The sequence below is a fragment of the Homo sapiens genome, chromosome 10 (assembly GCF_000001405.40).
Source record: "Homo sapiens chromosome 10, GRCh38.p14 Primary Assembly".
Taxonomy (NCBI): Eukaryota; Metazoa; Chordata; class Mammalia; order Primates; family Hominidae; genus Homo; species Homo sapiens.
In genome coordinates, this window is record NC_000010.11 from 31,815,946 (window position 1) to 31,834,991 (window position 19,046).

Genomic DNA, 19,046 nt, shown 5'->3' on the forward strand with positions numbered 1-19,046 from the left:
TCGAGACCAGCCGGGACAACATGGTGAAACCTCATCTCTACTAAAAATACAAAAACTTAGGCAGGTGTGGTGGTGGGTGCCTGTTATCCCAGCTACTTGGGAGGCTGAGACAGGAGAATCACTTGAACCCAGGAGACGGAGGTTGCCGTGAGCTAAGATCATGCCATTGCACTCCAGCCTGGGTAACAGAGCAAGACTGTCTCAAAAAAAGAAAGAAAGAAACGTGTGTGTGTGTGTGTGTGTGTGTGTGTGTGTGTGTGTGTGTAAAATCATCTCTCTTCACTTGGCTTATTCCCTGAGCCTGTAGGTCTCAATTAAAAAACAAAACAAAACAAAAATCCACTTTTTCTGCAAGGCCTTCCCTAACTAATACACTAGGTTTGCCCCTACTTAATTGGTGTTTTTACAGAATGCTGTACCCCCCTACCATCGTAACACTCATCACATTTCATTTTATTAACTGTTATCTGTCTTGAATAATCATCTGTCTGTGGCTATAATCTCAGTCTAGGAAAGTGCAGTATCTGACTGTGTGCTGCTATGTCCCCAATGCATAAGGCATTCACATATTTGTTAAATGAATGCATGCATACTTGCTTTCAAGAGACAGTGAACAGACTACTGTGACTAGAGCTGAAAGTCCATATTGGGTAAAATAGAAGGTGCATTTTGAAAAGACAGATTGGGCCTACACCGCTGAATTTTAATGAATCACAGCAAGTTTCTGAGCAGTAGGGGATTAGAAAATTGACATTAGGAAGTTTCATATGGCAATGGCATTAAGGATGAATCAGTGATAGGTAAGATTAAATAAGGAAAAAACTGTTTAGGAGGTTACTCTTATTTTGGTATTAAGATATAAAGGCCTGCCCTCATGGTTTCAGGAATAAACGGAAAAGAAAGGACAAGATTCAGAAATATCATGCAATATTACAAACTACAAAGGAAGAATTTATATATAGCTTCATAACTAATTTGCTAGAAGAGGCAAAGTTCTCTTTTATTTCCTATCAGTAGTATCTTTCATTTCTGTCATTAATATAATATGATCCTCAATGAAGAGCCATGTCCCCATATGGTGAAAGGTGAAAAGGAGAATACAGAGTATAAAAAAGTGCAAGCCAGGCACAGTGGAGCACACTTGTAGTCCCAGCTACTTGGGAGGCTGAATGGGAGGATTGCTGGAGCCCAGGAGTTCAAGGCTGCAGTGAGCTATGACTGTGCCACTGCTCCAGCCTGGGTGATGGCGAGACTCTGTTTCAAAAAAAAAAAGTACAGCTCCCAGCTGCTTACTAACGTTCTTACTAACATACCTGCAGAATATAAACCCAGGATTATTTTTGGTTGTTGTATATAAAGAAGAAGAAATATACTAGGAACACAAGGGTACTGAACAGCTTGGAGGGGAGAGGCGGAAAAACTAGAGAACTGTCACTAGAAAAGAAAAAGTGCTAATGAAGAGACTACAGCTTCTTTCATTTCATAAGCTCGCCTCAGACTTCTTCCACCAAATAGTATTATTTCCAACTCATTCAGTTATTGAATAAATACTATGTAGTAAGCACCATTTACCCCTTCTTTTTGAACTATTTCTTTTCAGCCAATGCCTGATGTGAACATTATTTCAAATCCACTGGTAGCAAACATCACATAAGTGAGAATGTTAAATCATTCACCAGCCCTGGGGGGCTGCTAAATTGACCATTGTTTTTTCCATCTCTGTCAAACATATATAAAGTGCCTTTTCACATATAGATTGCAATCCGGATATCCAATAAGCAATTAAAAAAAAAAAAGAAAAACAGCTCTGAAGTAAAAATTTTACCTAAGTCAACGACATACCTGATTATTGATTGTACTACTAAGAACTTTAAACCAATCATTAATAACAGTGTCATTGTCAGACTGAATTAGCAGTTCTGTTCCTTGACGAGTTTTCAGCTTTAGAGAAAAGCAGGGAGAAAAAAGAGTATGGTCAGTTTGTGCTTTCAGCAAAATACATGAATACCTTTAATTCAAAGTTAACAAAACCACCAAGAGTAGCTGCCATATATTATGTAACAATGATGCAAGGTTAAAGGACTACACGGCTATGGAATACCTTTTTGGTTTACAATAATATCAGTTGAATAAAAAAACATAAAGTTGTTTCTCATAATAAATTCTCACAAAAATCTAATAATTTAGGATCCCAAACACCATCACACAAATGCCATAAAACCTGCTGAAACTAGTACGTTTATCACTTAAAAATCTGTTCAAGTATCAAAGTGGTGCATTCTAAATTAGGATAAAGAAATAAAATCTATGACATTTTTACACAACCTGAGAAATTTTTTTCTGTCTCTCTGGCTAAAAAATACAGAAGAAAGAATACATAAAGACTTTCAATATTTCCTACTTTGTAGGTAAATATAATGGCTTAGTACAAAGAGCAGGCATAAATGTCACACCCCTTTTGGGCGGAAGTATTACTAAATTAAGTGTCAGATCATGAGCTGAAGTAAGAATACTATGTTTATTCTATATGAAGGCAATAACTAATTTATGTACAATCTCTGTTTTGCAGTTTCTTAAACTTAAGTGAGGAAGAATTTTGACACATTTGTGGAAAGCACTCCTCCCATTTTCCGATTAAAAACTGATTTTTTTTCCTAGAGGAAGATATGGCAATGCTTCCCAAACATTCTGAAAAACATAGTCCTCAAACATAGTTTCACAAATAATGTTTTAAAAAGGTACCCTCAAAAAATAAATTTTTGAAAAAGGTATATAATATTAACTTGGAAAATACTGGATTGAAGAAAATATAACTAGATTCTCTCCTTCAAGATGTCACAGGCTTTTGATATTCTAGGGTGCACTGTGATTTTCTAAGATAGGAATAAAATATACACTGCTTCCCAAATTTATTTGACCATGAAACCATTTTTATTCTTGATTTACCTTTTGAAACTACAAGGCTAATTCAGGAAACAGTGACTTCTTTCATGCACTTTTCTAGTGTTGGTCAAGCCAGTTTACCAATATTGAATGTTTACTGCACATAAGATACTCTGCTCTGTTATAGGTTCTTATTTAAAGGAAAAACATAGTCTCTTTACTTAAGGGAAAAACAAAAAAATTGTAATTATCTAATGAGAGAAATAATTGACAAATGATAACCCAAGTACACTAAATATTATTTTTAAATAAATATTTATTATTATAAATAAAGAAGTAGCCTCATTGTTATGGTGATGCTTGTCATGAGTCTTGGAAGAAAGGGAGCATTTGGCACGGAGAGATTGGCATGGGTTGGTGCTCGAGGCAGAACAATAAAGAGTAAAAATCAGACAAACCAGAAAACCTGGGCTCCACTTGGAAAACAGCAATTAAACCAATCTGTCTACACAACACAACAGGAAAGCCCTGAGACATGAGACTACAAAAAGAGGTTGGGATCTGGAAGGCTGTCCACAAAATCAGTCTTGGATCTCTGTAACCACACCCTTCTGGAATGGGACAGATAATGCTGCTCTTCTGTCAATAGGCTGCCTCTCTTCCCACAACTCTGAATACTTGGCTAGTCTCCTGAACAGTCTTAACCAATGAATACTCTGAAAGTAATGTGTGACTTCCAAATCTAGGCCCTGAGAAGCCCTGCAGGTTCCACCCTCACCCTCTTGGAATCCTGAGGCCGTCACTTGATGCAGCCTGGGGTAGCTCCCTTGAGAATGAAAGATCTTGCGGACAAGGAGGCCTAGCCAACAGCTGGCACCAATACTAGCCATGAGGTCACTTGAGACCATCCAGTTCCAATCAAGCCACTAGACGACTGAAGCCTCATGAATAGTCCTAAGTGAGATTAGAAGAAAAATCACCCAGCTCAGCCCAGGCCAGGCTGAGCAAACAAAATGGTTCTTTTGTTAAACCACTAAGTTTTGAGGTGGTCTCTTATGCAGCAATAAGTAACTAATACAGATCATATATTACTGGGGAGGGTTTTAAAAGATAAAATGGAAAGGTTTAAAAAAAAAAAAGGCCTTTATTTTTTAGACCAGTTTTTGGTTCCAGCAAAATTGAGAAGAAGATATAGAGATATCCCATACACCCCCTGCCCACCCCCACACACAGCCTCCCCATTATCAACATTCCCCTTAATTTACTTTTTAATATTAGATTTGGTAAGTAAAGGGAACCACATCCTTTTTATTATTGCTGGCAAAAGATAGGATTTGTGAAACAAAGGCTTGTAATATACAGTCTGAGTTCAAACAACTTATGCAAATAAAGCCAGTTTTTACACCAGTTTTTTCTTAAATTACAATACCATCTAACTTAATCACCAACTTTGCCTTAACTAGTCACAATGAAAGACTATTTCCCAAAATAGCTCAAAAAACAGAACATCCAATTACTACAGTTTAGAATGTGTTATACTTAGAAAAAAATGTATTACCTCAAATACATTCTTTTTGCTGGATTTATCCTTTGAAGCCATCTCAATTGTTGCCCCCTTGAGGTCCACTGTGAACTCTGGTTTGGACTGATTACTGCCAAACTTCATTTTTGAAAAAGAAAAAAAACCTTCATGTGATACTCACATATATGTGTATTCAAAAATAATTAAGAACAATTTTATATTAACAATAAATCAAATAGATTTTCTCAAATTCTTCTTTTTCTCTATTATAAAGTAACAATTTCTACTTTAAAATTGAAAAATATCTAGAATATATGAATACACAATTCACAGAAAACAAAATGACTCAACTTCCATCATATTATATATATATATATATATATATATAAAGCCAAACTGAAATTTTTTTTACCCACCAGAGTGGGAAAAAATTTTTTCAAAACTATGTTGGTGAGGCTATAGACTAAAAAGGCCTCATATGCAAGTGGGATATAAACTGGAACTACTCCTAGAAAAGAAAAATTGGTAATGCTATATTTGCAAATTTACAAATGCATGTATACTTTGGCTTGGCAGTTCTGTATCTTGGAATTTATCCTAGACTACACATGACTATGTAAAATGCTATGTACACAAAGGCAATACTCTTATATATGTAATAAACAGTATCAGGTAGATAACAAGCGCATTTTCTACCTAATAAACATTCTCTAAACCTGATTTTGTGCTTTCAGAAGTATTTCCTTATTGAGTAGTTACGCTGTTAACAACAACTTGTGGAAACAGAAAACACTAAGTCCCATGTTCTTTTATCTTTGTCAGAAACTGTAACTAGAGACAGATGCTATAAAGCATCAGCAATTTAATGAGGAACTATGAAAAGAATGGGAAGACAGTTGTTACGGGTGGGTTCAGAAGTACTTAGCTAGCTATTATATTTTGTTAACTAGATAAGGAAAAGATTAGCAAAAGTAGTAGAAAATTTATGTTAAATATACACTTACTCTGTACCTTGACATCTTTAAATTTGTTTAGTCTGTTAAGTATAAAAAGTAACATTCCTATGGTATTGAAAAGTTTAAAGGTTTTAAAACCCTAAAGTCTACTGAATTGTAATCTAAAGATCATAAAAATCTGTTATAAATATTTCCTACAGAGAATTTCATTTGCTAAAAATATTTTCAAATCAAATTAATTTGTCATTAGAAATTATCTTACCCAACTTTGTGATAACTTATTCACTATTTGTAATCTCAGTAACTCTATTCAGGAGCTTCACATTTAAAATACAGTTTGCCTCAACCTGTTCCCGTTTACATCTTTTTAGCTATCAGTGTGAACTTAAACAAAAGTTAGGATTACATAAAATTTATTAGTGGAGTCAATGAAAATTTTGAGATATTACATGGAATTTATTTGTGGAATCATAATAAAAATCACAATAGAAATTGTAACTGTATTCTACAAAGTCTTTGCCTGAAGTACCATTGTCAATCGAAAGACAAATTAAACATAAAGCTATATGTTGGGCATAACTTTCTGAGCAGAAATGATGTATTGCAAATGTTACCAAACTTGAACATACATTTAACAAAATGACAAAAATCAATTATTTAATTTATTGTCATCATACACGCTGTAGATGGGTAGCTCTAAGCTAAGATACAAATAAGCAACCAAATAAGATATAGCAATTAAATATAAATACAATGACATGACATGGAATGCTAAAAAAAAAAAATGCAATCAGTATAGCTGGCAACATTTCGTTAGTTATTATTTTCCAAAATCTAGTCCCACTTTTCTCTACTGTAATCAACCTCCCCACCAATGTATTCATCACAAAGAAAACAGAATTATTGTGGCAAAGGGCATGCAACAGGAACACATACAGTGACAGCTGAAACAGGATCAGACTTTACATATGCAACAGCAGGCCGACGACGGACAGAGTGTTTCCAAGAAGAAAGCAGCGAAAGCAAGAGCTCAGAGACTGAGCCTTGTTGGCAGAAGGACTTGATGGAAAAGGGAAGAAAATGATGATGTCATAACAATGCACAACAGCAAAATGACACACAAGAGAAAAGCATAATGGAACCAGACAAGACAAAGATACAATTCTATATGCAGACATACAACATAAGCAAAGCTCAACTTCCAAATAACTTTGCAAAGGTCCTAGAATTTATCCTGATGATTATTACATAAATTTATGTTTCATTTTTAAGATGAATGCTTTATAGAATTTATCTTAAACAGACTTGTGTTAGCCATTGGGAGGAATCATGTCAGGCCCTTTACGATCTTGATTAGACCCTGTCCAAAATCCCCTAGCTTCCTCCTCGTGACCTGCTGAGTAGTATCTTCTGGTGTCCCTTTCCAAGTCATCTGTTGGGAGTAGCCCTACCATCTAGCCTGCCTTTCCCTTCCTCTAGGACACTGATACTTCCTCTAGGAGACAGGGAATTTTGTCCTCTGGGGGACATCTGGTAACGTTTGGAGATATTTTTAGTTGTCACAACTAGAGGCGGAGTGCCAGTCATCTGCTAAACACCCTACCACGCAAAGGACAGCCCCACCGACAACAAATAATTATCTAGCCCAAAAGAGTGACTATTTTTAGAAATTTGAAAGCATGTACAAATGAATGTTTGAATAACTACCAATATTTATGGGTTGATTTTTTAAATGCTCAAGGAATATGATGAATAATAACTGAAAAGAAGCACAACATATGTCATGTCACACTGAACCTGTTCACTTGTCAGTCTTCCCCACTACTACGTAAGCTTTGAAGCCAGGGACCATGTTATTTCTTTCTAAACCCAAAGCTTAACAATGCCCAGAACACAGCAGGCTTTTAGGTCTGTTGAACAAACAAACAAACATACAAACATACATTTCTGAAGTGAGAAAAAAACAAATACAAGTTTATGTTAAGTGATATAGCAATCCAGTGGATAACCGTTTTCCAGAAAACCAGTGGAAGGTATCTGTCCTAGAGAAGAAAAGGCTCACTAGATTTTTGGATGAGACAGCACCAATGTAAAATATTTCTTATAAAGTGGAATTGCATGCAGCCTACGTGCATTTCATTTACTCAATTTTAACCATCCACTCTCTGCCAAAAAAAAAAAAAATCAATACGAACCATGAATAATTTTTTAAAAATAGAACTTTGAATAGCGTGGGTGACTGTGCTCAGCGTTCCATTCATGAGTACCTGCCCTGGAGTGAGTAGAAGATTTGAACCTGCTATTTCCTCAAGTGGATCTCAAGTTTTTGTACTAAGTGTGAATCTAATTTTTAAAGAACTATATAGATTTCTCCTATAATGTGGCCCCTTAACATAAGCCATTCAAACTCAACTGAAGGAAAAGCTATTCCTTCTAACACCAAAGGAAATATGGGCTCTGCTAGAGATCAGCTTCTGTATAGCATCTTCCTAACGAATATTCAAGAGCAGTTTTCACTTGAGGTGACTGTTGGTTTTTTGGCTTACATTTTAGCCTTAGAATCTTATTCTCAGGTAAGATGTGATTCTGCTGTATAAAGAGAATATATTTTACCTATAACAGATCTAGTTGGTGACTGAGCAGATCAACAAAGCTAGAATTCTTTAACATTCCTTTCAATAATCCCAATTCCAGAGTTAAAGAGCATCTTGTATGTTTCTCTAAATTTTGGTATTTATGAATGTTCTTGGGTCATAATACATTATACGCACTTACATGATTTTTAAATACTCTTACTTCCTTTTACTTAGGCCATTCAAATTAGTTCTCGCTCCCTTAAATATGTAGCAATGGGGAAAACAAAACAGTCTGAGGTTTTAAAATTAGCCATAAAATACAAATTAAGAATTGACTGTACAACCAAGCATTTCACCACATCTTTAATCTTGTTTAGTCTTTACTGAGACTATAAAATGGTGTGGTTATGTTTTTTAAAATTATACCTGTCTGAACTGATTATATTAATACTATATCAATAGTAATAAGATGTCATTTGAAAGGTAAAAATTAAAATAGTGATTCCCTGTAATTAAAAATTCATTGAGAATTCTAAAATTTCAAATTGGCTTGCTCAGTAAATTTTAAACTATGTTTCGGCTATTGCCACATGGTAACAAAGTAATACAACCTTGGCTGATAAACAGAAATACCTCACCTCCTTTGTCAGTATTAGTTTTAATCATGAGTTCTGAATCGTGTGTAAGATCTTCTACAGTGAAAACTTTAAATAAATTTTAAAAAATGTAACCATCCTGTACTAATGATTATGTACTGGAAGGTACTCATTTAACATCTTTAAATTCAAAATAAGTTTTCATTTCATCTAAATCACATACAAACCTGCCTACCTACAGGATGCTCTGTCTAATGGCTTCATCTGTTCCTGCTACAACCTTCAATCTTTAAGTATCAGTAATTATCAAATAAGTGACCACTATCCAGCTTTCTTCAGATACTTTTAAAAGTGACTTATTAATCTCTTATTGCTTCTCCATTCCTTTTCTTTCATCCATTTTCTTCACTCAATTTGAAATAAAAGTTGAGCCGTAAATAGGAAGAAAGAAACAATTACACAGTCCTCTAGAAATGCATTAACACAAAAGAGCCCCACATGTTTCACCTCGAGGAAAAGGAGAAAGACATAATTATCCATTTACTTTAAGATATATCAAACCAAAATTTCAACCCTTTCACAGGTCATTTCCACTGGAATGGCTGAACAGGGAGCAAATTAAAAGATTAGTAAAACAAAACAGAAGAAACGATCTAGAATGTTCACATCCGTGCTCAATTCATGTGGATTTTTAGGTTTCCTCATCAGAGAAGCTGAGGAATAATGTGTTCTGTGGCATTTGGGGTTCAGAACCATGTTGCATGGCTGCATTATAAATGTGGATGACTAAAATTTGCTTAAATTTTATAAATGGACTTTTCTTTCATCAAACATAAGATCCATAGGTTTTGTATTAATTTTAAAGAAACTCATTAATTGTAATAAAATATTGGTTACGGTAGAATATGAGGTAGACCAAATACATTTAGAATAATTTCATTTTAAATTTTACTTGAGCATTAGCACTTCAAACTCAATTACCAAAAACTTTTAGAAATAGCCAGAGCATGGATTCTAGAGCCAAAAAGCCAAAGTTCTAAACCCAGACCTGCCACTTGGTAGCTGTAAGACCTTGAACAAATTATTATACTTAAGTGTTTTATACCTCATTTTCTCATCTATGACGGGGGAAGGGCGAAATCAGAGCAATAGCTATCCCAGCGTTAAGGAGACAATATATACACAATCCTCTGCACTGACAACATATGTGGGATACAGAATGAGCATTCAAAAAATGTAGCTATTATATGTCACAAATTATAATTTTTAATGTTTGCATTACAAATAACTGAAGAGTAGAGTAATGATAGTAAGCACTCAAATATATAAAAAGCTTCAAAATCCCACAAGTAATGTGACATTTCTTTTTCTTTTGAAAGCTGGCTGACAATCCAGACACTGACACCTCAATCACTGATTTGTAACCAATGGTCAGATCACAATTCAAGATACAGCTTGCCACATTACTGCTTATTTTCTGACTAAATATCTGAAATAGCAGAGTCACAAACACAGCAAAGCTTTAACATCCTGAAAATGAATCAAGAAATGTATTTTCTCTATAATGCCCAAGTAATAAGCCCACTTTTCAGTTGAATGGATAAAACAGAATCTGTTGATTTTAATAACACCACTAATTAGACTGTCCTACTTAGTCCTCTTTTTCTCTCATAAGTTAAAATGAATCTTTAAGAAGATTTTATTCATTTTTATTTGCACACTAGCTATAACTATAAGGACTCTGGAAATTACCTCCTGAAATTCAGGTACGATACTATTCACATAATTTAAATGTATAAAATCTCCAAAGAGAAGAAATACTTACCCAACTTGTGCTACTTCCTTGAGTTTTGGTAAAAAGTAAAGATGAACCCTGCAACACCGCCCAAGAAGACAACCAGTTCTTTCTGTAATTATAAAGATGACCGATTAAAGCTCCAATCTCGAGTTCTTTCAGCCAAATTCAAAAAATTAAGACCTACTTAGCTCTTATCAATGTTATCTACAATTTACAGCCTTGTTGACATTTTAATTGTTTTTATTGGGGATAGATACTAATGCAATTTACAGTCATTTTATGGTTCAAACCTGATCATGAAGGCCCCAAAACAAATGAAGTTAATCAGAGAAGTTATCAGAAATAACTATGAATGAATGACGCATGTAATTATGTTCACGTGAAATTAATACAGCACTTTGTGATCAAAGACACTAATTTATTTTAAAGTCACACAAGTGGAATATTGTATTTATCAAGAATTCTTACTTAGAAGTAAAAATTAGACAAACACGCTTCCCTCACTCACCTAATTCTTTATACAGACTGTGTTACATTTCTTGGTGATCTGCCTTCCCCTAATTGGGCTGGAGTACTCAGGTAGTAGGTACTAGGTGCATTACAGGCATACAATGAATTGTACACTGATAGACCACACGACATTTAAAAACAAAATGTTTCCTCCATCACAAAAGCAACACATATACGGTATGCAAAAACTCTGAAAACAAAAATGTGTAAAGGAAAGGGAATCCCATTTCTTCTTCAATCCATACTCTAGAGGTAACCAATGTTAAGACTTTGGTATAATATGGGGCTTTTAAAGAAACTGTCCACTTATCTACTATCCTATCTCCAGATACAGAGGTACGCCTCACACAGCATATGTATTATCAGTTCACCCATTTAGAACTTTAAAGCTTTTGAATATTACACCCCAGCCAGATTCCCCTCAACTTCTCCCTTATCATATTAGAGATTTTTATGTAAATGTTTCTCTCTCATAGGAATTGTAAATTATTTGAAAAAACAAAACAGTTTTTATTTTTATTTTTTATCTGCCTCAGGCCTAGCACAGTACTTTTCAAACAGCAGGTATGAATCAGTGTTTACAAGTAGGAAAATAAATTAAAATTACCCTATATAAGGACACAGTTGCTAGGAAGATAAATGAATGTCAAATCTGTCTACTGCAGGGATTTATTAAAGCTATCCTTATAGCCAAACATATGGCCAATTTTATAAAAACCTCTAGGCCGGGTGCGGTGGCTCACGCCTGTAATCCCAGCACTTTGGGAGGCCGAGACGGGTGGATCATGAGGTCAGGAGATCGAGACCATCCTGGCTAACATGGTGAAACCTCGTCTCTACTAAAAATACAAAAAATTAGCCAGGCGTGGTGGCGGGCACCTGCAGTCCCAGCTACTCGGGAGGCTGAGGCAGGAGAATGGCGTGAACCCGGGAGGCAGAGCTTGCAGTGAGCCGAGATTGCACCACTGCACTCCAGCCTGGGTGACAGAGTGAGACTCCGTCACCCAGAAAAAAAAACAAAAACAAAAAAAAAACCACCTCTAAAGGAGGTTTATTTTCTGTTTTCAGAATGTAGAATTTAATATCTATCAATAAGACTTACCTTTTTTTAAATTACTTTTTATGTCTAGTTGAACTTTATGGATTAAGATAAGTGAAATAAAGTTAATTACTACTAGTGAAATAAAGTTAATTACTACTAAGTTTCTATGTTTCCATTTATTTCCTGTATTTTTTTGCTTATGTTTGTTAATGCTACTTTATTTGGTAAATGGTGATTCCTAATAATTACATCTTCACTGTGGACTTCTGCACATGCTTTACCATTTTAAATACTACTTTCATAATGCTTTATGCTCTCTCCCTAGGATGAACTTTGCTACTGATATCCCTAGTCTTGCTTTACTTTCTATACCTTTGACACACCTTATTGCTTTTTTTTTTCAACTTTTCTGAATCATCTTTAGGTGTTTCTTTTACATATAGAATTTAGTTAAGTTTTGCTTTTTTATGCTTCAGTCTGAGCACCTTTTTCTTTCAATAGATGAGTAGTCCATTTACATTTACTGATATTGATATTATAGATGGTGCTTTTTCTGTCATCATTATTTCATTTTCTGGATCTGAAGATATTTTGGAAGTATTTTAATTTTTTGTAAATTCATTTTATATTCTCAGTCTTCTATTTCTTTAGATATCATCTACTGACTCCCTACTATGAAAAATACTTAAATTAGCCTATTTCCACTTTAAGTAAGCTTTTTTAGTTCAATTTTCAAAATGAGAAAAACTGTAGAACTAGTAGATATATATCTGAGAACAAATATTGAATACATAAATAGTAAAATAACGATTATTGCCTCAAGGACTAAGCACTTGCGTGACTTAGTTGCAAGGTGAATTAGTCACATTTTTTTTTCCTGGAACCCCATTTTTTCTCCTGAAAAAACAACTGATGTACATACTATAGTTATTCAGACCTGGATATGTGGCACACAAACATTATCTTAAAAATAAATGAAGTTTTCAAAGAAAACAAATAATATTATTTATAGACAACAAAAAATTAAAACTTTCAACATGAGGCTGGGCATGGTAGCTCACGCCTGCAATCCTAGCACTTTGGGAGGCCAAGACGGGCGGATCACCTGAGGTCAGGAGTTCAAGACCAGCCTGGTCAAAATGGTGAAACCCCGTCTCTACTAAAAATACAAAAATTAGCCACGCGTAGTGGCACATGCCTGTAATCCCAGCTACTTGGGAGGCTGAGGCAGGAGAATTGCTTGAATCTGGGAGGCGGAGGTTGCAGTGACCCAAGATCGCACCACTGCACTCCAGCCTGGGCGAGAGAGCAAGACTCTGTCTCAAAAACAACAACAACAACAACAACAACAAAACTTTCAACATGAATGAACCTCAAGGACATTATGCCAAGCAAAATAAACCAGTCACAAAAGTTATACATATAACATATCATTCCACCAATACAAAATATCTAAGGTAGTCAAAATCACAGAAACAGCAGAAAGGTTACCAAGGGCTGGGGGATGGAGGAAGAGGGAATTAGTAGGTATAGAGTTTCAGCGTTATGAGATGAAAAGGTTTTAGAGATCTGTTGCACAACAATGTGAATATACTTAACACCACTGAGATGTACACTTAAAAATGGTTAAGATAGCAAACTTATGTATTTTTTTACCACCATAAAAAAAATTGAAGCTTTCAAACAGAAAGTAGAACTTTGGAACACCTGGCATCTGCTACAATGGATTTGACAACGTCCCAATACTTTTCTGACAGTACTGATGTATGATTCTTTGATATTATAAATAAAATGTGTAAACATTTGAGAAATGAGCAAAGTTAGTGAACTAGTATTTTACAAATGACCTACAAGATATTATAAAATTAAGCATGGGCAAAGATTCACTCAGGTGCAACAAAGACCAACGGCTTTTAATGTAACTGAGTATGAACCGTTCACCGGCAGTTTTTCAGAGTCTTCACTACAACTAACCCTCAACAAACTACCATTTGTAGAGTTTCGGAGCAGCAGGAAAATGCACAATTATCTGAACATATCTTAAAACATTCCTCCATTTTCCACCTTTAGTTGTGAAAAGGATTTTTTTCACATACTTCAAACAAAATAATATGTCACAACAGACTGCAAGCAGAGATGAAAATTCATCTGTTTTCCATTAAGCCAAACACTAAAGATTTACAAAAAAATGTAAAACAATGCCTCTCTTCTCATGGAAATTTTTTGTCTTAGAAAACATAGTTTTTCTTCAAAAAAATATTTGTGTCAATTTGTAATAGGTATTTTTAAAAAAATTATCCTTAAAATTTGTTTTAATTTCTCACAGTATCTGTAGATATAACCTATAAGGTTATAGAGAGTAGACCAAGGCTCTTTAGAATATTCAGTAATTTTTAAGCATTTAAAGGAGTCTTCAGACCAAAAAGTTTAAGAACCACTAATACATAGGAAACTAAAGATTTTGCTCAACTCAATGTAAATAAATTTGAAGATGATGGAATAGATGATTTCCTTAGGTAAATATAAATTGAAAAAAGTATTCCAAAAGAAGCAGAAAATCTAAAAGGCTACTATCATAGGAAAAAAAACAAAAGCAAAGAAAGTAGCCGAAGAGCTATCTGCACTACATATTCCCAAAATGGAGAAAGAAAAATAAAGACTCAATTCACAACTGAATTCTACCAAAGAACAGTTTAAGGGATACATAATTGTAGTATTTATAAAGCTATTTCAGAGCACTTAAAAAAAAAATCTAACTACCAAAGTCTGACAAAAAATAGTTCCATGAAAGCAAACCCAAAAAACTCAATTACATGTAAATTTAAAACTCTTTAAATGCAACTTATACTGCACAGAGTTAATTTCCTTAAATCACTAGGAGGTACTACACATTAACCAAAAAATCCAACAATCCAATAGAAAAACAGACAAAGGGTATAAAGAAACAATTCAACAAAAAGGAAATACCAACAATTTATGATACTGTAACCTATTAAAAAGGAATGCAAATAAAAATATCATTTTCTCTCTTCTCTCTCCTGGCAAAATCAAAGAATTTAACAACATACTAAACTGGCGAAAGGTGTGCAGGAATGCACGGCTCCTGGAGGCAGAAACGGATTCAATATCTTACAGTGCAATTTGGAACACTGTCGAAATGACTTTGCAAGTGGCCCAGCAATTCCACTTTTTGTAAAATTTATTTTATGGGCAGATTTGCATACTTGCAAAATGAGTCATGCAAGATGCTAAATGTAATATTACATGTACTAGCAAAAATGATAAACAACTGACATGTCTACCAATAGACAAGTGTAGTTTAAAACGTGCAAATAAATAATGGGGAAATAAACTATATAGTACAGCCAAACAATATACAACTATGCAGTAGATTAAAAACAATGTGGCAGCTCTACAAGCAAGAAGTGAAACCATCTCCAAGATAAACTGTGAAAAGATTATGTTTAGAAAATTAATCTCTATACATACAAACATATACATATATATCCTATCTCTGGAGGAAAGCACTAGAATTCAGGAGACTTAACACTGATTGCCTCTGGGGAGGGGAAGTAATGCCGGCTGGGGGATTGACTTTTCACTCAATACTTAGTCTACCTTTGTTTTTTACCATGTGCATTTACTGCTTACTGAAAAAAAAAATATTAAAGCAAATGCATCCTCAGAACCCTCTGCCTCATTACCTCTTAACTTAATATTACTTAGGAAATATGTCAAGACAAAGGAAAATTTTCATAAATCTCATGACAATCTTACATATATGATTACATAGAAAACAAATGGTGAGAGATTCTTCAGCACCTATTGTTTATACTAAAATAATTATATTGAGAATTTTTAATTTATTTCAGATGAATCATGTAAGAACATTAAAGACTTGTGTACTTACCGAACCTTTTTCCCATTTTCAGCAATTTTTGTTACATTTAATAATCCATATTTCTCTTGATCCTATGGAACAGAGTAATACTGTTTATACAATCACATAGACAATGAGGTCCAAGTTCTTACACATGACTGAACCAACATGGTCTCGTTCTCTAAAAATTAGCTTAAAAGAAAAGATTAGTCAATGTGTAACATGCGTAGTTCTAGAATACATTAAGAATATAACTTTCCTAATACTTTTGTAGTTTTTTCTTAATTTTATAATTAAACACTTCTTTTTCTCCTTAAGTCACAGCAGCTATTAGATACTTTGCTATCAAATTAGATTTCCATATGAACAAAGCAGCACTGAAAAATAATTTATGTCTTTCTATTCAAAGAAAGGAATACAATGCTATAAGGATAAATTCTACAAAAAAGGAATGATTTACTTTGCTGTTATTTTACAACTATATAATCTGAAAATTATTCAATATACTAACTCACTTTGTCAAAATGTAAAAATAGGGAGACCAAATACTGTGTCTGTATTTAATAAATTACTAAAAAGTTAACTGGTATCATGTACAGAACTTGCCTTAATGTAGCATAAAAAATTCAGCATGTGCTTCATTAAGCATATTATCAGATTGTGAGTTCCTCTCTAGACAAACTAGATTTATTAGCCAGCTGATGTCAAAAACAGTGACACAAGCTTTATCATCAAACCCTATGAAGGCAGAAGCCACTGCACTAAAGTTAATGTTATCTTAAAATTCTTCCAGATGGAAATCAAGAAGCACTTTCTCACTGCTTTAGTTTCCTAGAAGCAAATGAATTTAATTAAAATGAGCTGAGTCCATAGTAATCATTCAACATTACTAAGCATTATCTGTATGAGACAATAGTCAATTTTAATTCAACTAAAGCACTCATACACACGCACTCTCTCTCTCTCTCTCACAAGGAAGAAGTATCCCCAATTCTATTTAACTGATTACTCTGCTATATTTTCTCAATGTACTTTAATCAGAAAATATACATTTTTCTGCATGAGAGATAAACATAATATTGAGCATTTTTTTTACCAATGTCTGAAAGTTTCGTCTGGTCTGATAAAAACTGACATCTGTAGACAAAGCTGACAAACTGCTATGTCAATTTACATTTTTGGTATACTGGGGACTTGGGAAATAGCCCATATGAAGTTTTATTGTAATTTTTTCATAAAGCACAGCTTAAATCTCCTTAGATACGCAAGTTTGATATTTTTCGTAAGAACTATGTTGCTCCTCAACAAAAACATTAATAACACAATTGTAAGTATGTGTGAGATTTTTTTTTTTTCTTTTTCTCATAAACCTTCATGTTGAGGGCTGACTTTCAACAGATCACAGCAAGGCAGCTGCATAAGATGTTAAAGAAGAACATTTTTAATTTGCCGCCTGCACCCCTCAAAAGCAGGGAGAAAACAATCTTTCCATCATATGGGAACTAAGTAACAACATTAATCTGAGTGGATGGGCACTGATTACTTAAGCTAGGGAACTCAGCAATTGGAAAGGCAGAGAGGTGGGAATTAAGCCCATTTTAAAAATGCCACAGCTGAATTTGTATTAAAAAAAAAAAAAAGCAGAGGCAGGAAGGAAACACAGGCATCAAAACAGGAAGAAAAATGGATGGCATAGCAGTAGTGATAGACAGCCTAAGCCTAAGGATGAGAGGGAGAGTCTAGATCAGGGATTCTCACCCAAATCAACGGATAGACTGAAACTGGAACATAACTGAGCATGTATATATGCATCACTCAAAGAAAAGGTCCAGAACTTTCACCAAATGGTCACAGGGATCAAGACCCAAGTACTAATGCTCTATTAATCACTCTAACTTGAACATAAAGAACAAAATTTGCTACACCCAAAACGTACAAATACAAAGAACAATTCCCATGCAATGTGATACATGCTATGAGAAAGCTATGCCTAACTCAACCTGGGAGAGAAAGACATCAGACAGCCTCCTGGGGAACTTGACACTTGAACTAAGGAACAGGAGTCAGCTAGACTGAAACAGCAGGAGATAAAAACAACCAACAGTGAAAGGCACAGGGGCTAAAGACAGCATTTCATATTTGAAGGATTTTAAATTCCCCCAAGTATTGGGTGAGGTGGAGAAGTGGCAAGAAATGAGGTAGCAGAAAGAATGCACTAAGAAAGGGTAGCATGACCAGGAACCAACTAGAATACTATTTTAATCATTACTATAAGAGATGATAAAGACCTGAATGTGGTGGCAGTGACAGAGAAAAGGGGCCCAATTTGACAGATTCAGAAGACAAAATTGACAGGGACTTTTGCTAGGGTGAGAGCAAAGATCTTGGGGAAACTGTCAAGCTTGAGCAACTGGGTAGCTGGTAATATCTCCACTTCAATGTTACTTTAGGGCTTTTCCTGACCACTTTTAAGTAAACTTCCCACTATTTATGACTGCCTCAGTTTGTTTGCCTTATTGTACTTACTACAGACTAAATGTTTGTGTCCCTCAAAATTTGTACGTTGAAATCTAATCTCAAATGTAATGATACCTGGAGGTGGGGCCTTTGGGAGATGATCAGGTCATGAAGGTGAAGCCCACATGAATCTAATTAGTGCCCTTATAAAAGGGAACCCTTGTTATTTCTGCCATGTGAGGACACAGCAAAAAGGAACCATCTATGAACCAGGAAGGTGCCCTCACCAGACAGTGAATTTATCAATGCCTTGATCTTGGACTCCTCAGCCACCAGAACTGTGAGAAATAAATTTCTGTTGTTTATAAGCCACTCAGTTTATATTTTTGCTATACCAGCCCCAATGGACTAAGACACCCTTAATGCAAAGTACAATTGTGTATTTTTTATTACTTTTATTACTTCATTATCCACTCCATTAGGCCGTAAGTTGGAACCACATCTGTTATGTTCATCAATAACCAGTGCCTAGTACTGTATCAAGCATGTAGTTGGCATTCAATACATATATGATGAAGTAATTTACCAATAAATTAACAGTACTATAACAAGAAAGAAATATGAGGGTCAATAACAGAGAAAATAAAGCTTTAACTATTAAATATCTAAGTTTTTGAATTTGACATAAAAATAAATAGGCAGATGGGTAATATAGGTTTGGATACACAAGTAAGAGTTAGGAAAAACATTTAAGGCAGGGCACGGTGGCTCACGCCTGTAATCTCAGCACTTTGGGAGGCCAACACAGGTGGATCACGAGGTCAGG

General features: G+C 34.7%; 1 protein-coding gene across 10 annotated transcripts in view; it reads right to left on the reverse strand.

Moving 5' to 3' along the window:
- ARHGAP12 (Rho GTPase activating protein 12) overlaps positions 1-19,046 on the reverse strand; it is a 123,479-nt gene that overhangs the window by 10,548 nt on the left and 93,885 nt on the right. For all 10 annotated transcript variants that reach the window (XM_017016954.3, XM_047426021.1, XM_011519761.3 and 7 more), the window contains 4 exons: positions 15,794-15,855; positions 10,359-10,440; positions 4,442-4,543; positions 1,843-1,941 (listed from right to left, as the gene is read on the reverse strand). In XM_017016954.3, coding sequence (XP_016872443.1) covers positions 1,843-1,941; positions 4,442-4,543; positions 10,359-10,440; positions 15,794-15,855 — 345 coding nt within the window. The remainder of the gene's footprint in view (positions 1-1,842; positions 1,942-4,441; positions 4,544-10,358; positions 10,441-15,793; positions 15,856-19,046) is intronic.